Genomic DNA, 25,213 nt, shown 5'->3' with positions numbered 1-25,213 from the left:
TTCTTTATAATTGTACAAATATGTTCATCCAGAAACTGAGATATAAAACACACTGGGAAACATAACCAATAGTTCCAGTCACTGCTTCAATGGGAAAATAGTAAGTGTGCTAATGAGATAAACCAAAATTGCAAAAGAGCTAGGTTTTCCTTTGCAATGTGGTATCTTGATACCTAGAAGAAGGAATGCATGCCGACAGAACATCAGAGTCACCTAGGTGGATCTTTAACATATATGCAGGGGTCTGTTCTCACTCATAGGTGGGAATTGAACATGAGAACACTTGGACACAGGAAGGGGAACATCACGCACAGGGGCCTGTTGTGGGGTGGGGGGAGGGGGGAGGAATAGCATTAGGAGATATACCTAATGTAAATGACCAGTTAATGGGTGCAGCACACCAACATGGCACATGTATACATATGTAACAAACCTGCACTTTATGCACATGTACCCTAGAACTTAAAGTATGATAAAAAAAAAACATATATGCAGGGGTCCAGCTATGCCCCTTAAGCTTCTGATTTGTACGTCAGGGGTGAAGTGCAGGATGTTCTGCGCTTTTGTTTGTTGTCACTCCATGTATGATACTTATGTGAGAAACACTGAAAGGGAAGACAGTAGCATCCTAACTGAACAGAACCCAATCACTAATTTAATAGTTCAACTCTTAATATTTTGCCTTGACTATGTCTTCATTTGATTGTGCAGATCTTGTTTTCTAGCTCTTAATTTTAAAACTGACTTTTCTTTCTGTATCAGCCTATCTGCGCTAAAGAGAAGGAAATTTGGTTGCGGAAAGGGAACAGGTGGCAGGAACATAGCGATGGAAAAAACAGAGAACCCTGATTAGAATACACAGACTACTTTAAAGAAAGTGAAACAAGATTGTATTTTTGGAACCAAAAAGATGCAAGGAATTCTGAAGAGTGAGTTTTCAGATAATGAATATGCAGCTACTGAATTATGAAGGCTGGAGTTATGAAAGTCTGTTACTTTACTCGGTTGTGATTAGTAAGATCTGATCTGCTGAAAGTAAAACACATAGATGCATATTCCCAAAGTGGTTTCAATAAAAAGAACAGAAGAATCAAAATCTATAAATGTGATTTCCCTGCAGAACCCAGTGGGCTGTCTCTTTACAGGTATGGTAGACAGTTTCCAAGATGGCTTCACCAACACTGCTCACTTCAAGAGGTGGAGTCTTACATCTAGGCTGACAGTAGTGATTGTTTAATAGAATGTGGCAGAAATGACGTCCTGGGACTTTCAAGGCTAGGTCATAACAAGTCTTACAGTGTCTGCCTGAATCTCTTAGAACACTCACTTCTGGGAAGCCTCGGAACCCACCTGCCATGCCAGGAGAAACCCAAGTGACATGGAGATGACATGTGTAGTTTTTCTGGTTGACAGTCCCAGATGAACAGCTGAACTCTGCCACAACAGCCACATGAATGAGCCATTTTGAATGTTTCTGTTCAACCTAGCCCTTGGATGACTGTAGCCATGTCAGCATTCCAGCCAATACCATGTGGACCCGAAGAATCACCCAATGAACTTCTGGAATTATGAGACAGAATCAACTACTTTTCTAAGCTATGACATTTTGGGCGGGTTGTTAATGCAGCTATAGATTACTTAAATAACCTGCTCACTATCCTATATTTGCAAGTAATGGGGAGATATTAAATTGGTTGATTTTGCATATTTACCTCTGTCCACACAACCGGCCAGCCAGCCAGCCACTCTTCCACCCACCATCCTATCTATTCAACTATTTCTTAAGAACTTATTGTACATCTACTATGAAAAGGGCAATGGGAGACACAAGTTTATTCTTTCGCATTATTTAGAATTTACTATTGCCAGATATTGATCAAAGAGTTGTGGACACACAGGCAAATGAGTTGAAACCAAAGGAATAAGACAGATATGGTACCTGTTCACACTCCAGTGGGGGGGAAGATGAAAAGCACAAATATATTTACATAAATAAATGGCATCATTTAAAAGAGTGCTACCGAGGAAATAAAATATGGTTATGGGATAAAGATTTCCTGAGGTACCAGCTAAGTGTTCCGGTTGTACAAAGAATTGCTGAAGAAAGGTTCTCTAAGAAGTGACATTTGAATGGCAAAAAAGACAGCTGGGTAAAGAACTGTGGTACAGGACACACTTTTTAAAAAGAATAAACAGAACAGAGGTCCCGAAAAGGGAATAAGCTTGGTATGGAGGAGGAACAGAAAAAATGCCAGAGAGGAAAGAATGGAGAAGTAAAAGGGAATAAAAGCATGGATAAATATAATTCAGAATATACTGTGGAGAGCTTGTTCAATATTAAGCAAGAGAGAAACATGATTTAAATGTGTTTCCAGAAGATCACTCTTGTGGCTGGATGGAGAATGAACTGTCAAGGAGAAAGAGGTGAAGCAGGGAGATGGCTAGGAGGCTCTTGCAGTGGTCCAGGAGAAATCTGGTGGTAACATGCACCAGCTGGTAGCAGTGGAGGTTGCCAAAAATGCTGCTACTCAAAATGTATCTTGGAGGCAGAATCAATAGTACTTGCTGATGGCTGGGCAACTGAGTGAATAGTACTATTATTAAAGGAGATTGAGTAGATTGGAGAGAAGCAAATGTGAAGTGGAGGTGGGAAAGTTCTGCTCTGGCCTTAGTAAATTTAAGATCACTAGGCATGCTAATGAAGGCATTCAATAAACAGCTGGAAACACAAGCCTGATAATCAAGGGAGAGTTCTCAACTAGAGTAGTCAGCACACGGATTTTATTTAAAGCCATGGATGTGTTTCCCCAGAGAGAGTGCAGAGTGCGTATAAGCCAAGCACATTACTACATTTAAAAGTTGTGAACAAGAGGAGGACCCAGCCAAGGAGATTCTGAAGGAGTAGCCAGGCAGGCAAAAGCAGAACTAGAAGAATGTGTGGTCACAGAGCCAAATGAAAAAAATGTTTCAGAAAGGGAGGTGTGCACAATTGTCAAATAAGGCTTAGAAGTCAGTCAACTGGGGCCCATTGGATTGGGCCAGATGGAGGATGTTGATGAGCTTCACAAAAGTAGTTTTATTGATGTGGTGGAGACAAAATCTGATAAAAGCAGGTTAAAGAGAGAAAGAGAGGTGAAGAGTTGGAAACAGCATAGTCAACCCTCAATAACTTTGTTTGTAAAGAGAAAAAACTAAGGCAGTTGTTGAAGGGGGGCATGAGGTTAAGGAAGTTTTTTTTTTTCTTTTAAGATAGAAGGATATATTTATATATCAGTATATTTATATTTTAATTAGAATGATCTAACAAGAGGGAAAAATCGCTGATTTAACAGGTAAAAATTATGTAACACAAAATTAGAAAAGTTAGAAGTCTATTTTGAAACTTGAAAATTTCGCTTAGATTTAAAGGGGCTTTATTGATCTTATCTGTAGTAGGAGATACTGATTTTTTCCCCTGCCTTTCCAAACATTCAGACGTATGCACCTATATGTACACTAATAAGAGGGAGGAACGATTGATACGAGACCTATGAGATTATTCGAAATGCAAAACCTTTGAGTATATAAGAGAGGATACAGTACCTGGCTTCGATAGGAGCGGTAACTGTTCATATATACTAATAGGTAAGGATTGCTTCTGCCTTTCTCACTGTAGATCTAAACGGCTCCATTCAGCCTGGGCCAATTATAATGCCCTATACTCTGGGCTTTTCTGATTTGTCCAGGGATGAGCACATGGCCTAAACCAGGCCAATCAGCATCTCTCTCTATGGTTTCAAATAGGAGCTGAAGGAGGAGATGTGTTCATCTCTACCTTAGAATGTGCTTCTAGATCAGCCTCTGGCATGGTCTGTGTTGCATGGAAGATGCCTATCTCAATAGAAGGTGATGAAGTCAGCACATCAATAGAAGCATAGCTGAGAAATGAAAGGACAGAAAGCCCTGATAGGTTTTTTGCTCTGGCAGAAACCCATCATACAGCTTAGACCCATCTCTCCACATTCTGTGTTTTATAGGAACTGGTAAGTTCCTGTCTTTTTGCATAAACTAATTCTCGTTGTGTTTCTATTGTTTGAAACTTACAGAATCTTGAGTAACAGCCCATCCTATGAAGGAAAAACTCCTGGCACATGTAGAAACAGCCATCCTTCCCAACCTAATGGTGATCATTACTTCTGCAGGGAATGCCTTCAGTATGTGAGAGTCACTATTTCTACTGGCAAGCTTACTGGGATAGCCCAATCTGACTTTTCTTTTAGATTCTATTTAAAGCTGTTATCTGTATCTGATATTTGGATCTGGATTAGGAAATTCTACCTGAAAACCACCACCAACCACAAGGCTGTGGCTAGGAGGAGACAGCAGCATCAGCACTGGATAAGTGTCCCAGAGGAAAATTAGCAGCTCTCTCCCCCTTGATATTTTATTCACGTTCAGTACCGGACAGAGAAGGTGGAAACTAGTAGTCTAAACTGGGAAAGTAGAAATTCCTTGACTTGGTGTTTTAGTCATTTTGGGCTGACATACCAAATTACCATCAATTGTGTGCCTTAAACAATACACTTTTTTTGTGTGACGGAGTCTTGCTCTGTCGCCCAGGCTGGAGTGCAGTGGCACGATCTCGGCTCACTGCAAGCTCTGCCTCCCGGGTTCACGCCATTCTCCTGCCTCAGCCTCCCCAGTAGCTGGGACTACAGGCGCCCGCCACCATGCCTGGCTATTTTTTGTATTTTTAGTAGAGACGGGATTTCACCGTGTTAGCCAGGACAGTCTCGATCTCCTGACCTCGTGATCCGCCCGCCTTGGCCTCCCAAAGTGCTGGATTACAGGCATGAGCCACCGCGCCCAGCAAACAATAAACTATTATTGGTCACAGTTATGGAGGCTGATAATCCAAGATCAGGGTACCAGCATGAGCAAGTTCTGGTAAGGGACCCTTTCAGGTTGCGGATTGATGACTTCTCACTGTCTCTGCAGGGTGGAGAACTAGAGAGCTCTCATGGGGCCTCTTCTTTAAGGGCATTAATCCCATTCATGAGGGCTCCAGCCTCATGACCCAATCGTCTTCCAAAGGCCTCATCTCCTAACACCATCACTTTGAAGGTTAGGATTTCAACATACGAACTTCAGGGGACACAAACCCTTAGTCTATAACACTTAGCCTGAATGCCTGAGTGTGTGTGCGTTTGTGTCTGTAAGTCAGGGGTGAGTGTAGGTCCTAAAATCACACCCAGGGTCATTGAAGAGGCGTCCCAAGGGAACAAGCTGCCTGGGGATCAGGGTGATGCCAGCCAGCCTTCACCTTAGTGCTCATAGTAAGCTCTCATTTCACTCTGGCCTAATCAATACAAGAAAACAATGTTCTTCTTTTTTCCATCCTTATGGTTAGGAAAATTAAGAGTAACTTTTTAACAGAAAATGGGAGTTGGTACTTATTTTTAAAGGGTAGTATGGCTGGCACATTTCCGGAGTAGCCAGCTGTCAGAGGGACCATCGTAGGGCAGCCCAGCCAGGAACATTGGGATCATCTTCTAAAATCAAGTCATCAGATCCTGGTCTCCTCTAGTCTTCTTAGATCAGACTCTGACCTGGCCTAAGTCTGATCTCTCAGCACTGTTCATCCTTGACATCCTTGAAAATCTGTATTGTATCTTTGTATCTTTCTTTCTTTTTTTTTTTTTTTTTGAGACGGAGTCTCGCTCTGTTGCCCAGGCTGGAGTGCGGTGGCACAATCTCGGCTCACTGCAAGCTCTGCCTCCTGGGTTCAAGTGATTCTCCTGCCTCAGCCTCCCGAGTAGCTGGGACTACAGGCGCATGCCACCATGCCCTCTAATTTCTTGTATTTTTAGTAGAGATGGGTTTTTACCATGTTAGCCAGGATGGTCTCAATCTCCTCACCTCGTGATCTGCCCACCTTGGCCTCCCAAAGCTGTTTTCCACCATGGGGGGCACTTGCTTTGAAAATCACCTTGCGGTTCCCCTCCTGCCCAGCTCCCTGTGAACTTTATCTGGCTGACTCCTGGGCTGTTTTTGTTATTCCCCCTACTGTCTCACCTCTGCCACCAATTCTTCTTTCCTGTCTTGGCCTTGGCTTTGTGCTTTTCTCTAGGTTTTGATGAAACTTCTTCATGTTTTAATATGATCATTGGCTTATAGAGTTGTCTTCAGATGTTTCCCTTTGGGCTTGATGAGGAGAAACTAAGGAAAAATGGACTTTTTCTGAGTAATTTGTGTCCCATGTGCCCAGTTTCGGGGGGGGGGGGCACTAATATCAGCCTATTGGGTGATTATCTTTCTGAAAATGCAACATTGAGATACACTCCTGTGGATAAGAGCAGAAATTTATGTATATTCCAATTTGCAGTCATCCTGGGAGGAGGTGAGTCCTGGAGTGGCAAGTGAGGACTTGGGAAGTGAGTGTGATTCTGGACTCTGAGAAAAATGCCTTCTTTTGTGGGTATTGGGTGCAAGGAGCAGTCATGGTTTGGCTGCGTTTAAATGCAATGGATTTAACTAGACAGATTTCAGTGGAAAGAGCATGCTATGTCTGGCCCCATGGAGAGAAGCTAGGAGTGCGATGACAAGCCAGCCCAGCGCTGGCCAGGGAAGGCCAGAGTAGAGATCATGGTTATCCTGTTGTTAGTGTCCCTGAGCCTTTAAAAAAAAACTTAAGAAACAATTACATTTGGTTCTCTCTTCTGCTGTGTGGAGTTAAAGAGGAAGACATGGTGCATGCCTGGTATGAAGCAAGGAAGGAGTGAGCTGAGGAATCTTCCAAGGCCAGACAGGGCAGTACCAGCTGTGGCTACCAGTGGAAAGCTTGGAGTCTGTGCCCACTGGAGCAGTTGTCTCTCAAGGATACCCAGTAGTGACCCGGAGGCAGGAGGAGACAAATATGAGCATTCTGTTCTTTCACATATACAAGACAGCCCTGGAAATTTTAATTTCTGCAGTAAAGTGGTTGGGAGTCTGTTCCACCGTAATTTGGGTTACTCGATTACGGTTTCATTTTATTGATTGAAATCAGTGGCTCTCAACTGGGGGTGTCTTGGAGTATCTCCCCAGGGGGCATTTGTCCATGTCTGGAGACATTTTTGGGTGAGGGTGGGGATGTTATTGGCATCTATTGTCTAGAGGCTGCTAAACATCTGCAAAGTGCAGGAAAGTGCCCCCGGCCCCAACAAAGAATGATCCAGTGCAAATGCCAATAATACTGACAAATAGTTCCTGACTTAAAAGAAACTGAACAAAGAGAGCATTGGAATCAAAGCAGTTCCAGCTCCCTTCCATCCAGCTACTCTTATGACTGCCTAAGCCCCTCTCTGCAATCTCTCACGGGCTGCAGGAGAAGCAGTTTCTCAGTTTCTGTAGGAACGCAGCTTCTTCATGGCAGAGCTGAATATAGAACCTGCCAAGGAGAGATGCAACCTTGTTTACATTCTTGTTGGCAGCTAATGAAGAAGCTGCTGTGTACTCGAGCTATTATCTAAACCAAAAATAACACATGAAAATGATTAATTTCATCTAAAAATAAGCAGGCGCTAGGCTATGTCAGCCATGATAATCAGGCTCTGAGCTGATTGTACTGCAGCATTGGAGTGGAACTTGGGAACAAAGGGAGAAACAAATTTGAGCTCATAGTAATCATCTCCTACTGCCTTTTCTTCCCTCTGTTTCTTCTCTTTTCTCTTCCTACTTTGTTGTTATTTTTCCTTCTCTTTTTCCTTCTCTTTTTTCTCCACGTTTTCCTTCTTCTCTGTAGTTTCTTCCTCCTCTCTTCTTCCCCCTTCTTTTAAAAACACTCCCCTCCCTTATTTCATTATTACACTATTATCCTCAGACTGCAGTGGATCCATCCCCATTGCTTACGGCACAGTTTCCTACAGCAGTACCTGTCTCTACTTGTAGCACATAATATATTGTTACGGGGTGAGTAAATGATCATTAATTGTTAAGGATCAAAATTATTTTAATGTTTTAATTAAAAAATTACTGCATATAATCTATTATTGCATGAATATTGGTGCCTAATTAGGATAAGACCAAAGGTAGGTATTTAAGCCAGAAAAATGTTTCAATTTTTTTTTTTTTTTTTCTTTTCTTTTTTTTATTATACTTTAGGTTTTAGGGTACATGTGCACATTGTGCAGGTTAGTTACATATGTATACATGTGTCATGCTGGTGCACTGCACCCACTAACTCGTCATCTAGCATTAGGTATATCTCCCAATGCTATCCCTCCCCTCTCCCCCCACCCCACCACAGTCCCCAGATTGTGATATTCCCTTTCCTGTGTCCATGTGATCTCATTGTTCAATTCCCACCTATGAGTGAGAATATGCGGTGTTTGGTTTTTTGTCCTTGGGATAGTTTACTGAGAATGATGATTTCCAATTTCATCCATGTCCCTACAAAGGACATGAACTCATCATTTTTTATGGCTGCATAGTATTCCATGGTGTATATGTGCCACATTTTCTTAATCCAGTCTATCATTGTTGGACATTTGGGTTGGTTCCAAGTCTTTGCTATTGTGAATAATGCCGCAATAAACATACGTGTGCATGTGTCTTTATAGCAGCATGATTTATAGTCATTTGGGTATATACCCAGTAATGGGATGGCTGGGTCAAATGGTATTTCTAGTTCTAGATCCCTGAGGAATCGCCACACTGACTTCCACAATGGTTGAACTAGTTTACAGTCCCACCAACAGTGTAAAAGTGTTCCTATTTCTCCACATCCTCTCCAGCACCTGTTGTTTCCTGACTTTTTAATGATTGCCATTCTAACTGGTGTGAGATGGTATCTCATTGTGGTTTTGATTTGCATTTCTCTGATGGCCAGTGATGATGAGCATTTTTTCATGTGTTCTTTGGCTGCATAAATGTCTTCTTTTGAGAAGTGTCTGTTCATGTCCTTCGCCCACTTTTTGATGGGGTTGTTTGTTTTTTTCTTGTAAATTTGTTTGAGTTCATTGTAGATTCTGGATATTAGCCCTTTGTCAGATGAGTAGGTTGTGAAAATTTTCTCCCATTTTGTAGGTTGCCTGTTCACTCTGATGGTAGTTTCTTTTGCTGTGCAGAAGCTCTTTAGTTTAATTAGATCCCATTTGTCAATTTTGTCTTTTGTTGCCATTGCTTTTGGTGTTTTGGACATGAAGTCCTTGCCCATGCCTATGTCCTGAGTGGTAATGCCTAGGTTTTCTTCTAGGGTTTTTATGGTTTTAGGTCTAACGTTTAAGTCTTTAATCCATCTTGAATTGATTTTTGTATAAGGTGTAAGGAAGGGATCCAGTTTCAGCTTTCTACATATGGCTAGCCAGTTTTCCCAGCACCATTTATTAAATAGGGAATCCTTTCCCCATTTCTTGTTTTTCTCAGGTTTGTCAAAGATCAGACAGTTGTAGGTATGCGGTGTTATTTCTGAGGGCTCTGTTCTGTTCCATTGATCTATATCTCTGTTTTGGTACCAGTACCATGCTGTTTTGGTTACTGTAGCCTTGTAGTAAAGTTTGAAGTCAGGTAGTGTGATGCCTCCAGCTTTGTTCTTTTGGCTTAGGATTGACTTGGCGATGCAGGCTCTTTTTTGGTTCCATATGAACTTTAAAGTAGTTTTTTCCAATTCTGTGAAGAAAGTCATTGGTAGCTTGATGGGGATGGCATTGAATCTGTAAATTACCTTGGGCAGTATGGCCATTTTCACGCTATTGATTCTTCCTACCCATGAGCATGGAATGTTCTTCCATTTGTTTGTATCCTCTTTTATTTCCTTGAGCAGTGGTTTGTAGTTCACCTTGAAGAGGTCCTTCACATCCCTTGTAAGTTGGATTCCTAGGTATTTTATTCTCTTTGAAGCAATTGTGAATGGGAGTTCACTCATGATTTGGCTCTCTGTTTGTCTGTTGTTGGTGTATAAGAATGCTTGTGATTTTTGTACATTGATTTTGTATCCTGAGACTTTGCTGAAGTTGCTTATCAGCTTAAGGAGATTTTGGGCTGAGACAATGGGGTTTTCTAGATATACAATCATGTCATCTGCAAACAGGGACAATTTGACTTCCTCTTTTCCTAATTGAATACCCTTTATTTCCTTCTCCTGCCTAATTGCCCTGGCCAGAACTTCCAACACTATGTTGAATAGGAGTGGTGAGAGAGGGCATCCCTGTCTTGTGCCAGTTTTCAAAGGGAATGCTTCCAGTTTTTGCCCATTCAGTATGATATTGGCTGTGGGTTTGTCATAGATAGCTCTTATTATTTTGAAATACGTCCCATCAATACCTAATTTATTGAGAGTTTTTAGCATGAAGGGTTGTTGAATTTTGTCAAAGGCTTTTTCTGCATCTATTGAGATAATCATGTGGTTTTTGTCTTTGGTTCTGTTCAATTTTTAAAAAATTATACTGGCTTACATTAGGAAAGGTTATATGCAGCTGCTGAAAATCGACCATTTTGACTTACAAAAATGATAACTTCATATGATTTCACCTAATAGAATAAAACTAATGTTTCTTAGCATATTCAAAGTTGTTTACAATCTGGCCCCAATTTATGTTCCAATTCTGAATTCACAATTTTCCCCTAGATAAAATCTAGGCTTTGATAGATCACTGAATATTTATCAAATACCAGTTGTAAACTAGGAACTGGAGTAGGTCCTAGTGATGCAGATATGATTGAGATTAACAATCTGTCCTCCAGGGGCTTACTGTCGACAGGAGGAGACAGGCGCATGGTTTCAGGCAAAATATATTAAGTATTAAGATGTAGTTTTCACTGCGATATGGTTTTTATTGCTACTTAGAGATATTTGGGATAGTGTCATGGAGATTTTTGGTCATCACGATGATAAGGAATATCATTGATATTTAGGGAGTGAAAGTTAAGAATACTTAACTTTCTACAGTGCATAAAACAATCCAATTACTCAATGAAGAACCAACCCACCCTACTGCCAATGGCAGCCCTATAAGAGAAACTAATGGGGGTTATTACTGGGAGCAAAGAGGAACAATGCAAAGCGGTATCTTGCCAAATTTGGGAGTTCAGAAAAGGCTTCTTGGAGGAGGTAGCATCTGAACTGAGCCTTGAAGGACGAGGATGATTGGGTTTGTGAAAGTGGGAAAGGCCTTCTAGGAAGAGGAAAAAACAAGTTATTTCAGGAGTCCTCATCAGCTTAGTCTCTTCTTGGTTTCTCACTTGGCTCCTGATGTGTGATAACTTTGTATGTATCTCCCTGTCTCTAAGGGAGATTTCATTTCTGTCTGCAGAAATCGTTCCCATCCTTCAATAAGTGGCTCATGTCCTATTTCCTTTATAAAATCCCCTTATTGACTCAGTTGAGGGTAATTTCTTCCTAAGCCTTTTGGCCTCAACAATGCTCATTGCATTCATACTTTTCTTTCCTTCCCTCCTTGGTTGTAATTTTTTTGAAAGGAGAAAGCTGTTACCCATTTTTTTGCATGTGGTAAGTGACATCTAACAAATAATATTTTATGTGTCTTACAATATCTTATATTAGCAATACTTTGTGTTTTTTTAAAGATTAAAAACGTATTTATCAAATTTGCTCCCCAGAATGGCTCAATTAGGCAGTTTCACAGGTAACTTAATCCTATCATGTAGGTCAATAATTTTCAGCTGGGGACAATTTTCCCTTCTGGAGGATATTTGGTAGTATCTGGGGACAGTTTTTATTATCATGTGGGAAAGATGCTATTGGTATCTAGTGTACAAGGGCCAGAAATGCTACTAAATCTTCTACAATACAAAGGACACCTCCCTACAATAAAGAATAACCTGACCTGAAATATCAACAGTGCTGAGGTTGAGAAACGTTGATGTAAGTTAAGAAATGCAAGTGACTTACTGAAGGCTGTACAGCAAATTGATGGCAGATCAACCAGAACTTAGGACATCAGGACAGTGAAGAACTGAACAAAGGATGCACTATGGCGCCAGGTAATCTGGCTTCCAGTTTGATCTGCTTACCAGAAAGTTCCTGGCTTTCATCTCACATTCCTGCTTTGTCCTCCCTTGCTCCTTCTTGCCATAGTTTGAATCTCCAATTGCCAAGCTGCTTTATTTTGTGTATGTTCTTTAACCTATTTCCTTTAACCTCTTAAGCCTGAGTTTCTCTCTCTACTCATAACTTAATAAGATTGGCATCATAGAATAGTTGATAGAATAACTGTAAAGGCATACATGGAAAGGTGGAGGTAATGTTTAACATTATCACACTATGCACTGGGCTCCGTTCTATGCAAGTTATAGTTATTAAGTCACTTACCCCTCACAATAGCCCTGTGAGGGAGAAACTATTATTAGTCCCATTTTATAGATAAGACAACTGAGCCACAGAGAGGTTAAGTAACTTAAAGGATCACCGCTAGTTAGGTGGTGTAACTGAGATTGGAACTCTGAATCCAGGTGCTTCCTCACTCACTATACATATCATACACTACATATTACTATCTGGGCACCACATTCGCCTTCCCACGCTTCCCCCATTTTACTCCTGTCCTCCCATTATTAAATGCTTACATGCTGCTGTGGGGAGAAGGTGCCTGGCTCAGAACCCACACTTCTGCTTTGTGTACCCTCCTTTGGGCCTAAGCTGGGTATCCAGTTGCTAGGTTATTTCTGCTTGGTCTGTATCAGTAAGACCCAAGTTGCAACCAGCTGCAGCAATCCAAAAGTTAAGGAAGGAAAAGCAACTGGCTCAGACTCACTCCGCTGACCACAGAGACTTTCAGGGTATACTTGTTTCCTAGCTGGGGCATCTGTAAACCATACTACAAACTAGATGGCTTAAAACAACAGAAATTTTATTGCTTCACAGTTCTGGAGACGGAAAGTCTAGAATCAGGCACTCAACAGGGTCATACTCCTGAAACCTATAGGGAAATCCTTCTTTGACCCTTCTTAGCTTCTGGTAATGGCCAGCAATCTTTGACGTTCCTTGGCTTTTAGATGCATCCCTCCATTTGTGCCTCTCTCTCACAGGACACTCCCTTTGTATGTGTCTCCATCTGTGTCTTCACATGGTGCTCTCCCTGTGTGTGTCTCTGTGTGCTCTCCTCTTCCTATAAGGACACCAGTTGTATTGGGTTAGGGGCCCACACCCGTCCAACCTCACTAAACTAATTACATCTGCAATGACCTTATTTCCAAATAAGGTCACATTCTAAAGTATTGGGGGTTAAGATTTCAACATATCTTTTGGGGAGGGGAGGGCGGGGGTGGGAGATACAGTTCAACCCATAACTCCAGGCAAACATCTTTCTGTCTTTATCAGTCTCATGGAAGCTGGGCTCTGCTCAGGGCTTGGCCACCTCTGAGCCTCATTCTGTCTTCCTTAGGCTCTCTTTGGAGGATAGATACTTCCTTTGCAGCTCCTTAATCTTCAAGGAAATGAGGTATCGCATGTCCTTGTCAGGATCCCTGCTATTTCATACATTAGTTGATCCAAATAAATGAGCTCTTGAATAAATACCATCTGGCCCTGCTGAGTCACTTTCTCAGTGGCCCTATCTCTGCCTCCCATCAGAAGCATCCATCTCTATCGATGTCACGATTACCAGATTTCATGGGTAGAGCACAGCTTCCTTCCCTCTTGGATCCCTGCATTACGGTCCTGAGAGGTACCCACTGTGGGTTGTGACCCAGCTCTCTCAAATGTAATGCTGCTTCTCAGTATCCCAAAAAGTAATGTTATAAAGAAGACTCATTCTTCTTTTCTCATCTTCTTTTATTAAAATATATGCTTATAAGTAAAACAAAGCCTTTTACTTATTACAACAACTTTCGTGAAAGTTAAAATAGAAAAAAATATTCACCCATATTCTCCCCATGGCTAACAGAAAAGAACTGTCAGAAACTTCCTATCTCATTTTTATTCAGATGCATGCATATTTTTACATTAATTGCAGTATGTATACAATGTTCTCTGTTCTACCTTTCTACTTTCATAATATTTTTAAAGGAATTTATATGTTACAACATGGTCATTTTAATGACCATAAGATATTTCCTTTGGGTTAGTTTACCATAATTTAATACATCAAAATATATTATCAAACATTTAGAGTTTGGGGACTTTTTGTTACTTTAAATAACACACTGTAAATATCTTGCAATGAATTTCTTTGTACAAGTTTTTTTGGTTTTTGTGGTTGTTGTTGTTTTTAATTTATGCCTTTAGAAGAATCCAGGAGAATTCCTTTGTCAAAGGGCATGATTATATTGGCTCTTTATTTATTTTACTAATTTGGTCTCCGAAATGATTTTTCCAATGTGTGCGTGTTTCTTTTTCCCTGCAGTCTTACTAACGCTGAGCTTTGTAATCTTAAATTTTCTCTAAAATTATTTTAGTGGGTAGAAAAGGATACTTTAATAGTCTTAATTTGCCTGTCTTTGGTTAGCAGTGAGAACAAACACTTTTACACTGCATCTTATTGTCTAACACTCTGATGCATGTAAAAACTATTGGCCTCTGCTTCCTCAGACCTAGGTTATCTCTGACAATGAACCTTTTGCTAGCAATCCACACCTTCAACAAGAATAAGCAATGTGTCTGCCAGACTCCTCTTCACATATCTGCCCTTCTAGAGAGATATTTAGGAGCTCAAGTAGCTGTGGGTGGTGGAGTTGTCTATGCACTTCGACTTCGTTCTTTCTGTAACCCAGGCTTTTATGGACCACAGGGACAGGAAAGAACAGCTCATATCATTAGCAGATGCTTCATTGGCTGGGGGATAAGAGTAGGGAGGTAATCACTCAAACTCTTTCTGCAATGCTGACTACAGGATGTTATTAGAAAGAGCAGATGGGGTTTGGATGGTTTGAATCAGGAATCTGAAACCCTAGTGTTGTGTCCCCAAAATACACTAGCATCAAAGGCAGACCTGTGGATCCCAGTAAACTATATTCTGAATACCAACATATAATGAAGTTTTGCTGGGAAGCAGAAGGAATAAAAAGAGAAGGAAGATGTGAAGGGAGGGATTTAGGCATCTATTGGACCCTTGGCTGTACCAGGGGTTGCAGGCATTTCTATAAAGGTCACATAGTAAATATTTTAGGTTGCAGGCCAGATGGTCTGTCACAACTACCCAGCTCTGCAACAGTAGCACAAAAACAGCCAGAGATGATACTTAAATAAATGGGTGTGGCTGTGTTCTAAACTTTACTTATGGACACTGAGATTTGAATTTCATCTACTTTTTGATGTGTGACAAAATATTATTTATCTTTTGATTTTTTTGTTGACCATTTGAAAATGCAAAAGCCATTTCTGGCTCACAGGTCATATAAATAAAAGCAGTGGGCTAGTTTGGGTTTAGGAGATGAAGTTTGCTGACCTCTAGGCTTAACTATCAAAGAAAAAAGAATGGTATTATAAAGTGGCTTTCAATCTTCTTTTAGCAGAGACATTTATAAACTCCTACATATAAAGTAGATGAAGGTGTCTGCTGTGGTTGAGCAGAGGAGAGCCTGGAGGCTGCGTCCTAGCCTCTTTCTTCCCCTTTCTCTGCTCTTTCCCACACCTAAGGCAGCTTCTGGATTATCTCTGCCATGGAACACAGGCTGACCTAGAAATCCTGAGATGGGAGTTTAGTTGTTCCTCTGCTACCCTGAGCACCTTGCATGGGACGGGTTCTCATTAAGCTCATTAACCCAATTAGTGGATGGAGGGCTGTCCAACAGTCTTTGAGATCTTGGGCTGGTTTCTCTAGCTCACTGGTTTCAGTTTCTTCTTCAAAAATCAAGCTGGAGATGAAGACAGAAGGATGGAATGATCTCTGAAGTCTCTTCCAGCTTTTTCAAGATTCCAGGTTGCATATTCTCCAAGATTGGAAAGGTTCTGGCTCATTAAATTTGACAAATATAAGGCATAGTCTTGGCTTTACTCAACTAATTGGTACTTTTTTCCCTCAAACTCTTGCTCCTGAGTTGATTAAACATAATTGAAACTCATACAATAAAAAATGTGGGTGTGGTAATGGGAATGTATTGAAGCTAAATTATCTAGACTTTCTGATTGCACTAATTAAAAAGCATGAAAGGTTTCTTCAACTGGAAGATCAGTTCCTTGAAGTTAGAAATGATGTATTTTTCCACGCCTGTAGTCCCAGCTACTCGGGAGGCTGAGGCAGGAGAATGGCGTGAAACCAGTGGGCAGAGCCTGTAGTGAGCCGAGATCGCACCACTGCACTCCAGCCTGGGTGAAAGCGAGACTCCGTCTCAAAAAAAAAAAAAAGAAATTTTGTATTTTTCCTTATTTATATGGCTGATAAGACCCTGAGCATAGTAGATGCTTTAAAAATGTTTTTGATGAGAAGACATTTATGCTGCCAACAAACATATGAAAAAAAGCTCATCATCACTGGTCATTAGAGAAATGCAAATCAAAACCACAATGCAATACCATCTCAAACCAGTTAGAATGGCAATCATTAAAAAGTCAGGAAACAGCAGCTGCTGGAGAGGATGTGGAGAAATAGGAACACTTTTACACTGTTGGTGGGAGTGTAAATTAGTTAAACCATTATGGAAGACAGCGTGGCGATTCCTCAAGGATCTGGAATCAGAAATACCATTTCACCCAACAATCCCATTACTGGGTATATACCCAAAGGATTATAAATCATTCTACTTTAAAGACACATGGACACGTATGTTTCTTGCAGCACTGTTCACAATAGCAAAGACTTGGAACCAACCCAAATGCCCATCAATGATAGACTGGATAAAGAAAATGTAGTACATATACACCATGGAATACTATGCAGCCATAAAAAAGGATGAGTTCATTGTCCTTTGCAGGGACATGGATGAAGCTTGAAACCATCATTCTCAGCAAACTAACACAGGAACAGAAAACCAAACACTGCATGTTCTCACTCATAAGTGGGAGTTTAACAATGATAACACATGGACACAGGGAGGGGAACATCACACACTGGGGCCTGTTGTTGGGTGGGGGGCAAGGGGAGGGATAGCATTAGGAGAAATACCTAATGTGGATGATGGGTTGATGGGTGCAGCAAGCCACCATGGCACATGTATACCTATGTAACAAACCTGCACATTTGGCACATGTATCCCAGAACTTAAAGTATAATAAAAAAAGTTTTTGATGTTAATAATAACAGCTGCCCCTCCTGCTCCTTGCTGGCTCTTCTACCAGCCCACTTTCTCTTCTTCAAATATACCAAGCTCATTTCTACCTTAGAGCCTTTGCTTTTCCTCTGCCTGGAATTCTCTACTTCTAAGTCTTTATACAGTTGGCTATCTCTGTTCATTTAGATTTTGGTTTTCATAGCATCTCCCCAAAAAGGTTTTCCCTAGACACCCTACATAAAAGGGTCATCTCTATTCTCTATGACTACCCCATGTGATTGATAGCCAGCATTCATGGTCTTACCTTCGTGTAGTCCCATCTTTCACTGAACTAGGGTTGGTTTGTTTTACCACCTGCACATGGCAGAAACTATAACTTCTAAGATTAGGTTATAAATGACTGCGACTTCCATCTTGGGTGTTCACTGTCTCTTTTGGGTTACTTGCTGTGGGGAAAGCCAGCTACCATGTTTTGAGCACATTAGTCCATCTGATGGAGAGGTCCATGTGGGACAGACTTGAAGTTTCTGGTAACCACCAGTGGAAAATTGAGCCCTACTAACAACCACCGGTGTAAGTTTGGAAGAGGTTCCTTTCCCAGTTGAGCTTTCAGATGAGGCTGCAGCCCTTTCCAACAGCTTGAGTACAACCTTGTGAAAGATCTTGAGCCAGAACCATCCATCAAAGCCATTCCTGATTTCTAACTTACAGAAATAATGCTATAATAAATATTTATTGTTTTGAACTAAGTTTTGGGGTCATTTATTGCACAATAGATAATTAGTATACTCTGAATTGTTTTTTGTGTTGCTTTATATTTTTCTGAAATTTCCTTATTGACTGATGTAGTGAGTGGGGCAAGTGGAATCATAAATAAGTAATTTGCCACACATATTATAAGCACAATGAGAGAATTATGTTTGAGTAAATATAGACCAGTAGTTCTCAAGGGTGTTCCCTGGGCCAGCAGCATCAACATCACTGAAAATGTAATAGAAATGGAAATTCCTGGGCTTCATGCTAGACCTACTAAGTCAGTAACTGGGAATGAGGCCCCAAAACCTGCATTTTAACAAGTTCTTCGAGTTATTCTGATGTACACTAACATTTGAGAGCTACTAGTATAGCATTATGAGAGCATGAAGGAGGGCTAAGACTGAAAAGTGGGGCCTCAAGGATGACTTCCTGGAGGAGGTCACAACTGAGCCAGGTATGTAAAGATTATTTAATTCTAAGCCCCTAAGATGAGTATAGTATCAGGGGAATTATAGAAGTAAAGAAAATTTTGTTTTATAAAAAATTACAAAGGTGACTCTGTTCACCGGTACAGCAGGAAGTCTTCCTAGTACGGTAGATAACTATGTAGGTGAGAGTTTTCCAAGAGGAAGGAAGGGAGAAGAGAATTTCGGCAGCAGGAAAGAAACTTTGTGAGAGAAAGCCAAAAAGAAAGGGGCCTTCAGTGACTACACTAAAGGGTCATTAAGCTGTGGGTAGCAGCAGGTGATGAAGCTGAAAATGTAGGTTGGAATTAAATTGCTCCAAGCTGGGCTAAGGATTCGGTGTGTGGACAACAAGATAAGCACAGAATTCCTTGAATTCTAACACTCTGAGAGCAGATGGCAGGATGGCATGCATCTCTGAAATGGCAGGGAGGCACCTGTAACAGGAGGCCATCAAGGTGAGTGGAAGGAAAGGTAACTGTCCTCTTCCCCTTCATTGACTGCACTGCCTCTGGGGCTGGAGGCCTCCTTTGTCTGCTGAGATGACAGGCTTTTCCAGTCCTTCAGGCAGAAATTGCTGGCAGGTTTGATCACAAAGGGCAGGTTGTTCTTGGGACTAAGAAAGACAAAGAGAGCTTTTCCTTGTAGCCAGGAGGCAAATCTTGCTTCTCACACCAAGACTATCTTTGCCCTTCTGTCTCTCCCGGGTGCTCTTTCTCCAACAGAAAACCCTACCTGCCACTCTCCCTGCAGTCATTTGACTAGAGTAGGACCAGGTGTATTTCATGTCACTTGCCTTTTGGGTTAGTGATCTGGAAGTGACTTCCCATAGTATGATTAATATGGCTTGCCCCTCTTTGAAGCCACTGGGACTGTGTTGTGTCCAGAGCAAAGAGACTGGAATAACCAAACTGTATTTGCAGCCTGAGGTACTAGGGGTGGCTTAAAGCTGGTTCATTAAACAGGGATTTGTCTTTCACATTTAGGTCTACAAGGCTGTGTTCCTAAGGAGGTAGGTGGCCGCTTTGTGGAGATGCTTTGCATTCTGGGACATAAGCCACACACTTATTAAAAGACACTAAGTGCTTGTTGAAAGAAAAACAGACTGACTAACAATAAACGAATAGATGAATGCTGAGGTTAAAAGAATTTGGACTTTGAAAGCAGACAAAACTGGGTTCAAATTCCAGCTCTTGTCATTTATATAGGTCATATTGGTCAAGTTATTTTGCTTTCAGAGTGTCTATTTTCTTATCTGTATAATGCTGCTGTTTGAAAGGTTTTTAAGAAGAACAAAGAAAAATCAGGCATATAAATGTACTCAGCATGATACATAGGACTCTGTTGGCACCTCCAAAATGATGAGTTTCTTATAAATTAGTGGTTTTTAATCGTGGCTGAATATTAGAGTCACCTGGGGAGTTTTAAACCCCCTGACACCTGTTTCCCACCCTAGACCAGCTGAATCAGAATGTCTGAGTGTGGAGACTGAGGATGAGTATTTTTCATAAACTGCCCAGGGTGATTTGGATGCACAAGAAGGTTGAGCATCACTGCTGTCGTTGGCAACTATAAAAGGTGATTGGCAACCCTGGCTGAAAATTAGAATCACCTCTGGAGCTTCTAAAATACTAAAGCCTGGGTCCTGTCCCTCAGAGAGTATGCCTTAAATTGCTCTGGAATAGTGATGTCAGTATCAGAATCATTTAAAAGCTCCCTATATACAAAGCCTTCCAGTATATGGAAAAGATCTTCCTTCTTACTCATCCACCCACTTACCATACTAACTTATTTTGTGACTATAAATTAGAAATATTACTTAAAAATCAGGAGTAATTGATTTGTCATTTAAGTGTTCGCTACACTATTTTTACTTATGTTAATACTTTATTCACATATATTGCATTATAATTAGTTGTTTACAAATCTAATTCCTATTAAAAGTGTGAGCACCTTGAGATACGGAATGTAATTTTTGTCTTTCAAGAATCTGGCACAGGACCTGGATGAGTAAGTTCATATTATTATTTGTGAAACACCTGAGTCCATACATGGACTTCCCACAATAGTAAAGTTGATTTTATCCATGTGTATAGTAGGAGTTGCAAAAACTTATACCAGCATTTAATTTTGAAAAGAGAAATTAATCTGTTAGGACTTAGGGTTGCAAATGCAAAAAAAAAAAAAAAAGTCTGACCCACTTAGCTTTAGGAAAAAATATATTTGTTTGAGTAATCATATATAAACATAAATAACTATAAAATATGCACACACAGAAAAAGATAGTACAGAAGTAGTGTTAAGATATAGCATTATTCCAAGATTTAAATAATGTTACAATTGCCCAGTCTCTCTGTCTTTCGTTTGCTAGTCTAAGGTAATCACCTTCTCAGACAAATTGCCCTCCTTATGGTAGAAAGATAGCTGCTGAGGAACCAGATTTTATATTCTCTCGAGGAACAAGATTTTATATTCTCTCGGGTTTAGGTAAGCAGAAAGAGTTTCCGAGAAGTCTAAGCAAAAGTCTCATACCATTTCTCTAGCTCTGATTGGAGCAGATATCTATCCTTAAATTGAGCATTAGGGTCAGGAAGAATAAATACTGTGAGTAGCTTTGGCCAATGGTGATACTTCAATCAAGGCACATGGGCTGAGGCTGTTGGGAAAGGTGGTTTTCTGGAAAACAATCAGAGCGTGGTTATCTGAAGAAGAACTGCTGGATGCTGGTAGCAAAACATGACAGATACTCTAATCAGCATCTATTCAGGCAATTCACTTAAATATGTTTTAAATACAAAATTGAATAGCTTTTATATATATTATATATTTTTATATATTTTATTATATATATTTTATATTAGAAAAGAGATTTTCTCATACACTATAAATATTCTTCCTTGTACATTTAGATATATCATGCCGTTATGAGATATTGCTGCTGCTGTTAATGATAGAGAATAGTATTACTTCCAGATTCTTCCTGATCACTGTTTGGCTTTGAGAGAATCCAGAGACACCGTGTAATTCTAATTTCCACATGGTAAACATGCAAGAGATTAATTCATCCATCCATTCTTCCACCCATCCATCCACCTATCTGTCATCCAACAAACATTAACATCCACCCATTTAACAAAACTATGTGTTTTAGGTTCTCAGATTTCTGAGACAAGACAAAAATTCCTCCCTGCAAGGAGCTCTGAGTCTTGAAAGGATGGATATTCGTGAATTCACCGTAAAAGAGCATGGTAAATGCTTTGCTCTAAGGATGAGCAAAATGCTGCAAAAGCACAGCATAAGTGGAGGCCTTGGTGCCCAGAACAATAAGGCAATTTGATTTCCAGGAGAAGAGAAGCTCAGTCCACAGGTATAGATTCTATTCTCTGGGGCTTCTTAAAATCTGCCAGTCTATGGCTCAGTTTCCTAGGAAGAGACCCCTAGGCTTCCTTTATCCCACTTGCTTTGGTGCATCTCTGCAAAGCCCAACCATCTGAGCAAGTTAGGGAGAACACTAGCATGAAGGAGGTGCTCTTAAAGAAGTAAGTGGCAAACAGGAAATTTGTGCCTCAAACAGATCTCTGACTAGGTCATGCTATAAATGTTGTATTCCAGGGGTGCACCTGGAAGGAATCATGATATACCTGGACCACATGCACAATAAAATGTAACAGGAGGTGGAAGAGCCTTCTTTGTTGGCATAACCCACTCATGGTATGATTTTAGAAGACAAGAAAGACTCACTTTTCAAAGTCACTATCAACTGTTTCCTTAATGCTTCGATCTGTTCACAGATAGGCCTGGAATATATAGTGCTTTCAGCTGCCATCAGTCATCTCTCCCTCAATATGGCTGACCATGCTATCACAGGTAAATTTGGGAAGGGAGAAATATTTCCATCCTACTCAATTGATATCTATTTAGTGTCTTCTAAGTGTTGAACCATTGCTAGCATTGGAGAAATAGAGACGAATAAGACAGAAGTGTGTTTTCAAGAGATTTTCAGTTTATGGGGAAATGGCAGCAAACAGTCACACCGCAAGATGTTAAGAGAGAGAAAACACAGCATCATTGTGGGAGGAGCATTTCATCCACCACAGAGCTAGCCTCCTGAAAATAATGGGGGAACCCAGTTTTCTATAGATATTGGCATCTCTCCTGGAAGTTTGCTGAGGTTAAGCCTAAGCTGGGAGCCTGAGCTAATTGCCATATTTTGTATGATTTTCTTAGGTGATTTTGTTCTTTCAGATGTTTTATTCATGGAAGTAATTTTTTCATAGCTAATCCTGAAGATGACATAATGATAACATAACTGAAGATTAGTATATTCTGAGTTTCAACTAATAAAGTTAAAATTGAGTAGATATTAGGTATCAGCATAGAAAAAAATTCACAGAAGATACCAGAAAACCAGTTTTATTAATTTTAAAATACTCTATCCCATGCAGAATATAAAAAGGTCAGAAGCCAACAGACAGAAGATTATTTGGGGATAATTTCTTGGAGGAGCTGATGACAGGCTTTGAGTCCTTCTCTAAGGATGTGTCTGGGGATGTCTGTCCCTCACTTCAAGCCAAGTGGGAGAGGTGCTTCTGTGAGACCATTCAGAGAACATAATGTGTGTATCTAGGATTTGGGAGTGAGTAGTGGATTGATGTCTGACACCCTTCAGGGGACTCTACTGAGCAAGAGAGAAAGGTTGGGGAGCTGCTTGCTGGCCACATGAGAAAGAGGTGACCCCTTCTCCTGGCACACAGCAAATGCATTGAGTGAATAGGATGTTTGAGTGTCCTCTGGACCAGATGTGGGCACACAGGAGAGACAGCGAGCTAGCCTCAAGCTCCTTTGCCTTCTACCCATGGGACTCCCTGGATGTGTGCGTCAAGGGACATGTTGGGTAGGTAGAGAACTTTATCCACGGACCTGGGTGAATCCGCGTCCTGTATAACTGAGGTTGCAGTAGGTGAGCTTAACAAAGGCACGTAGCTCATTTTGTTGATGAGTTCAGCAAAAACATTTAGCTCATTTTGAGGCTGGCCTGCTGAAAAGTGTTCAGTCTATAGGGTTCACCCGTTAGGCCCAGAGAGAGCAGAGCTGATTCACAGCAGTACAACAAATAAGAAAGTAAGGACTTTCTTATTTCCCTTACCTCTTTTTCTCCCCTCGTCCACCCTGATCTGAATGAAAATGAGGATCAGAAACAGTAATTAGTCAGTGGAGAAAGTCGCACGTGAGAACGTGAGACATGATTCTTCCCCAAGGCGGGCTACCTGCCTACCACAGGCTCTAGCAGTTTGGGTGGACCAGGGGAAAGGAAGGTCTTATTCTTGAATATAGATAGGAGTTTTCATTCATGTATTAAACTGAATATTTTGATTTATGATTGGAGATTAGGCATTCAAGACTTGTAAAAGTGATCCAAAAAGCCTTGGAACAACCTGAATTTTCACCCAGTGGCAGGGGAAAGATTATCCTCACTAGTAGGTTTAAAAGGGCAATCAGGGACAAAAATAAATAAAACTAGTTGTATGACTAAGCCCTATGAATTCTGTGTGTTCAGAGTTCTCATTACACATATGCCCTCATCCATTAAAAGAGGACCCGTAAGAGAGGAACTAAAGTTACACTGGGCTAACACCCACATATGTAATGAATGGCAGGCGGGAGTCCATCTGGACTAAATTAGTCAAAGTGTGGGTCTGGGCATTGGAGCAGGAAGTGATTCTGAGAGCTCCCTCATGAGGCAGCTGTCCAGAGGAGGAACTCTTGGGGTTAACCAGGTTATCTCGACTCCATTAAAAGCCAGCTTAGGTCTCTCTTGCCTGAAGGGTTTTCTCTGACAAGAGGAGATTCATAATTCATGCTGCTAGCTCTCATCATGCCTCTCACGCATTGTGTTGGACACGAATTTCCTGTCTCCTTCCAAATTTGTATGTGCCAAATAGTACAGAAAGAGGGGGCTATCCCTAGGGTAGAAGCTCTCAAATTTTAGGACTCATCAAAATAATCTGGGGTTCTTGTTAAAACAGAGTCTGGCATTCTTCTCCCACCGTAAGATTCTGTTTCAGGAAGTCTGCAGTGGAGCCTTAGAATCTGTAGTAGTAGCAAGGCCCAGGCATTTATGAACCAAGTGGCCTGGTGACTATACTTTGAAAATAACTGCTCTGGAGTTTATATTCTGAATGGGTGTAGCTGTATTCCAATAAAACTTTATTTGCAAAAACTAGTGGCCATAGATCACTGCCCCTGGTATAGAGCATTATAGTTTATAGAACACTTTTCAACCTCCTACTCTGTTGGCTCTGGAGGAATAAGATTTCCAAGGAAGTGAAGGACTCATTATAGGTCACCAGCAATCAGGTGACACTACTGAAAACCCTGCCCAAGTCCACTACTTACAAATGCAGTCTTCCTTTATCTACAATTCCAGCTACCACCAAAGTCAGGGTATTGTAACGGGTTTTAAAATAGTTTGTTGCATATGGCAGCCATATCGATAGATGTGGGCTGACTTCACTGTGCAGTCTTTAATAAACAAGAAAGCCTATTTTTCCTTATTTGCTAGATACTTACTATTTACTGTCATAAAAAGTTATAGCATCATGAGTATGCTCAAGGAAGGGCCTGAAATCATTCTTTTCTGTGTGTGTGTTTGTCTTCAGAACCTAAAATAGGAATCTCAGCCTCAAAAATCCCACAGGGCCAAGAGAGTGAACATTAAAGGATGAAGTAATAGAGCGGTAGCAATTGGGACAAACTTAGGAGTACACGCCCATTTCCACCAGCCACCCAAGTCAGGACAACAATTGCCCTGCAGAAATTCTGGCCCAGTGCTGCCAAATAATGATTTTTCTGAGATACTAGAAATGTAG

The 25,213-nt window shown here is 40.8% G+C and overlaps 2 long non-coding RNA genes across 2 annotated transcripts in view, besides 1 other annotated feature; one reads left to right on the top strand and one right to left on the bottom strand.

Moving 5' to 3' along the window:
- Positions 1-25,213, bottom strand: part of CASC21 (cancer susceptibility 21) — a 147,995-nt gene that overhangs the window by 2,413 nt on the left and 120,369 nt on the right. The window lies entirely within an intron of this gene.
- Positions 1-25,213, top strand: part of CASC8 (cancer susceptibility 8) — a 192,464-nt gene that overhangs the window by 91,921 nt on the left and 75,330 nt on the right. The window lies entirely within an intron of this gene.
- Positions 18,664-19,167: an enhancer, noted in NCBI's record as "NANOG hESC enhancer chr8:128383298-128383801 (GRCh37/hg19 assembly coordinates)". NCBI's record gives its function as "activates a minimal SCP1, AML or CMV promoter by ChIP-STARR-seq in primed H9 embryonic stem cells {active_cell/tissue: H9 hESC(primed)}" and the evidence as "EXISTENCE:reporter gene assay evidence [ECO:0000049][PMID:30033119]".

The sequence above is a fragment of the Homo sapiens genome, chromosome 8 (assembly GCF_000001405.40).
Source record: "Homo sapiens chromosome 8, GRCh38.p14 Primary Assembly".
In the NCBI taxonomy this organism is placed as follows: domain Eukaryota; kingdom Metazoa; phylum Chordata; class Mammalia; order Primates; family Hominidae; genus Homo; species Homo sapiens.
The sequence above is the reverse complement of the archived record's forward strand: the minus strand, read 5'-3'. Positions and strand labels throughout refer to the sequence as shown.